At 33.8% G+C, this 3,840-nt stretch overlaps 1 annotated feature.

The window, feature by feature from the left end:
• Positions 1,323–1,482: an enhancer, noted in NCBI's record as "active region_22502". NCBI's record gives its function as "activates an Ori minimal core promoter by ATAC-STARR-seq in GM12878 lymphoblastoid cells {active_cell/tissue: GM12878}" and the evidence as "EXISTENCE:reporter gene assay evidence [ECO:0000049][PMID:35858748]".

Below are 3,840 nucleotides of genomic sequence, written 5' to 3'. Positions count from 1 at the left end.
AATGTAGTTTGGGCAGATATGGGATGGTGGTTGGTAGTGGTTTCAAAGGAATTGCAATTTCATATGCGTATCCAAACATTTTCTTTGGTGGAATAAAATATAATGACTTATATTCATAAATACACACATACAAAAATATGTAGATGCTGAGATTAATAAAATGAAAATTAATTAAAAAGAATTATCTAACTTATGAATGCTTCTTATCCTATTGTATTTTCTCAATCAATAATTACTAAATGCTTAGTTACCACCACCTGTGTTCTCAAATATTTTTGATGTTAAAAAAGATTTTCTTAGAAAGACTAGAAGCCACTAACTTAAATCATGTCTTTTAATAGGTTTTGTTATTTCTTCATGAAAATTCCAAATCTGATTTTTCTTTGCTGCTGGAACGTGCTTCCCATTTGCTTGAGCATTTTAGTTTCTGTCTTCTATACTTTTTTCAATAATGTTTTTCCTTAGGAGTTGTTATAAAAAGTCACAGAATATTTTTTGTTGTTATGCAGGGGTGAGATAGTAATGTGCTGTTCTGTTTCTACCACATTTTGCTGACTATACTAAGTACTTTCTAGGTTGTTCTGGTCATAGCTACTTGCTGGTCCTATCTTTTAGGAAACTGAAGTTACGATTCTTTCTATGAATTGGCTTTTTGTAGTTTTTTGAAGCAAGAGATGACTTCCTGCAATGTTGCCTGGCCTAATTGCTTACACTTTCACTCCTCTCTGGATCTCCCCTTCTGCCCCAAAATAGAAACATTAAGCTATCATCACGTCTGTCCATTCCTTTCTTCTCCTCCTCCTCCTCTTCCTCCTCCTCCTTCTTTTAAATCAACCTCTCCCCCTATATTGGTTCTTTCCCCTATTAGCATCTTTCAGTTCTCCCCACTTCAAAGTAAAACCTTCTCACAACTCTAGTTACCCCTCTCCCTTTTCACTATTTATCGGCACTTCTTGAATTCCTGCTTACTTTATTTATTTTTTATTTTACTTTAAGTTCTGGGATACGTGTGAAGAATGTGCAGGTGTGTTACATAGGTATATATGTGCCATGGTGGTTTGCTGCACCCATTAACCTGCCATCTAGATTTTAAGCCCTGCGTGCATTAGGTATTTGTCCTAATGCTCTCCCTCTCCTTGCCCCCCACCCCCTGACAGGCCTCTGTGTGTGATGTTCCCCTCCCTGTGTTTACTTTCAACACTTTCTCACCTCCCATTCATTCCTTAGCATGTGACCATCTGGCTTTTGCCTTTGTTATTTGTCAGAAATGACTCAAGCGTAGGTAAAAATGGAATATACTAAAAATCTCACAGACACTTTTAGTTCTGATATTAGTTTGCTCTCTGTAGCATGTGAACTACTCACACTGCTTGGATGGGGCTGTGCTGTGCAGGCCTCCACGGCTTTGCGTAGGCTGTTTCTTCATCCTGGTGTGCTCATTTCCTTGTATATCACTGGCTAACTGCTATGTTTCCTTGATGATTCAGTTTAAATAAGTGTCACTAATTTGAGAAGCCATCCCCACGCTCCCTCTTAGCTTCAGGCTGTTAAGGGATCCTAGAGAACCCTGTATGTATGCTCTCATGTAACACATTCTATTAAAAATGTTCAATGTTAATTTTGACTTTGAATAAACGTTCTGTGTTCATTATATATAAATCAGAAAATTCTATGAACATTAAAAAAAAAAGGCTCCAATAACCTTATAACCCAGAGAAAACCACTACTAGTATTTTGGATTTTATCCGTCCAATGCATGCACATACACACATGTTGATGTAGCCTGTTTTAAAAAAAATCTTAATAATGTATCCCAAATATTGTTCCCTCATCTGCATCACCATTTTCAAGGCCTTGGTCTATTCACTTTCGATGCCTTCTAATTTATTTAAACCATTCCCTTTTCATGGATATTTACTTTGCTCCCTCTCTCTTGCTTTATTTAACAAACTACAATAAATGTCTTGTACCACCATCTTTGTACCTTGTCCCATTACATCCTAATAATAAATTTTAAGCAGGGGATTTGTCTGCGCAAGAGATATTTACAGTCTTAGAACTTCTGACATATTTACCCATATTAACTTTTAGAAAAAATGTTACCTTAGTTTACGAGGGTGACTGACCACATACTGTTGTAATTGCTGGCTTGTTTGCTTACCCTTCTCCCTAAATTTTTGGTACTTGAGTGTCTTTTCATGGAGATTTCCCCAGAATGTCTGCTATACTAAAGGTACTCAGTAATTATTTTTTAAAGGAATCAATCTATATTTTTTGTGAGGAGTTTCTTTCTGTGTTTTTCAAAGAAGAGTATTCACGCTGGCTTTGAAAAAACTTTTCCAAAAATAAATAGATTAGGATACATCTATGAGTGGATCACATTGCAGCCATTGCAAATGTTCATGTAGAAGTATGACAGTTGTTTACAATATGGTGTTGCCCCAAAAGAATAGGCTATAAAACAATATGTATAGTATCATTCCATTTTATGCATAAATTATATGCATAAAATTATATGCTTATAAATTGTACCTGTATGCATAAATTACATTTACAAAATGGAAATTGGGATGTACCATGTTTTATTATGTGTATTAAAGGAATTCCCAGTAATCTTTTATAACACATACACGAACAGTTTAAATTGTTATTTAAATTAGTATTAGATAACAGTTAAACTGTTATTTAAATTGGTTATAAAATTGATATTTTCCCAATCGTCTCTTCTTTTCTCTTCACTAAGAGATACAAGAAAGACAAGGGTTATAATTCTAGTTCAGCTAATATGATATAGAATTATTTGTCCAGTTTTCTTGCATAGGTTCTCTAACCATATAATAGGAGTAATAATGCCCATCTGTATCCTCTTGCAAAAGATGTCATGAAATAATAGAGATTACTTGGTGTTCTTGTGGAGAAAATTGGAGTAGAGATCCTGGGTGTTTTTATTTATTATTAATATCACCCCACACCTCCTGCCATGTTTTGAAATGACTCAGGATCTTAATGGTGTGACAAGGGAGTACTTGGGAGAAAGGGAAGGAATCTGATGAAATATAACTCAATATCATAGGTAAAATAGTTATTTTTTTATCACTTTGCAAGCCAACAGCATTTTATTCCTTATCATCCATCATGATGTAATGATACTCCTGTGTCTTCTGTACTTTCCTGTCTTCCTTTTGGGTAATTTTGGCTGTTTAAAATTTTAAAAAACAGTCTTCCTTTTGACTGGGTTAAGAGAGAAATTTTGCAAGGTTAAGTCTGTGTACTTTTGTTTACCACCCCTTTATCATCATTAAATCAAAAGGAAAAACTTCCTAAATATTTAAGGTAAAACTTATTTCTGTTTTTCATTTTGTCCATAATACATTTTTGCCTTTCCTTAAAAAAGCATCAGAATTGAAAAGATGGAAAATTCTATCATAATTATTAGATAAATCACTTTTCAGGAAGGATTCCTAATAATTGTTTCAGATTGCTGGCTTAAGGGAATATTTTCTATTTATTAAATGTTAAAGTGATAAATTATAATTTTTATTTTACTGTATACCTTTTAACTTTTAAGGAACAGTCTCATCCATAGCCACAGAAGGGATGAGATAATCCTATTATGCAATATAATGATAATAATAACTATTAATTATTGAGAGCTTACAGTGTTCCCCAAACTGTTCAATGTGCTTTACGTATGTTACCTTGTTTATTATTATTGTTATTGTTTCCTATCTGGTAGTATTATTTTATAATTTCATGGGTTTTCTAGCTTTCTCATATGGTCCACGCTTCCTGAAATTGGGATTCATTTATAGGTGCTCTGCCAAATACTGTATATGGTGA

The sequence above is a fragment of the Homo sapiens genome, chromosome 5 (genome assembly GCF_000001405.40).
Source record: "Homo sapiens chromosome 5, GRCh38.p14 Primary Assembly".
NCBI lineage: Eukaryota > Metazoa > Chordata > Mammalia > Primates > Hominidae > Homo > Homo sapiens.
This window is presented reverse-complemented; position numbering and strand designations above follow the sequence as displayed.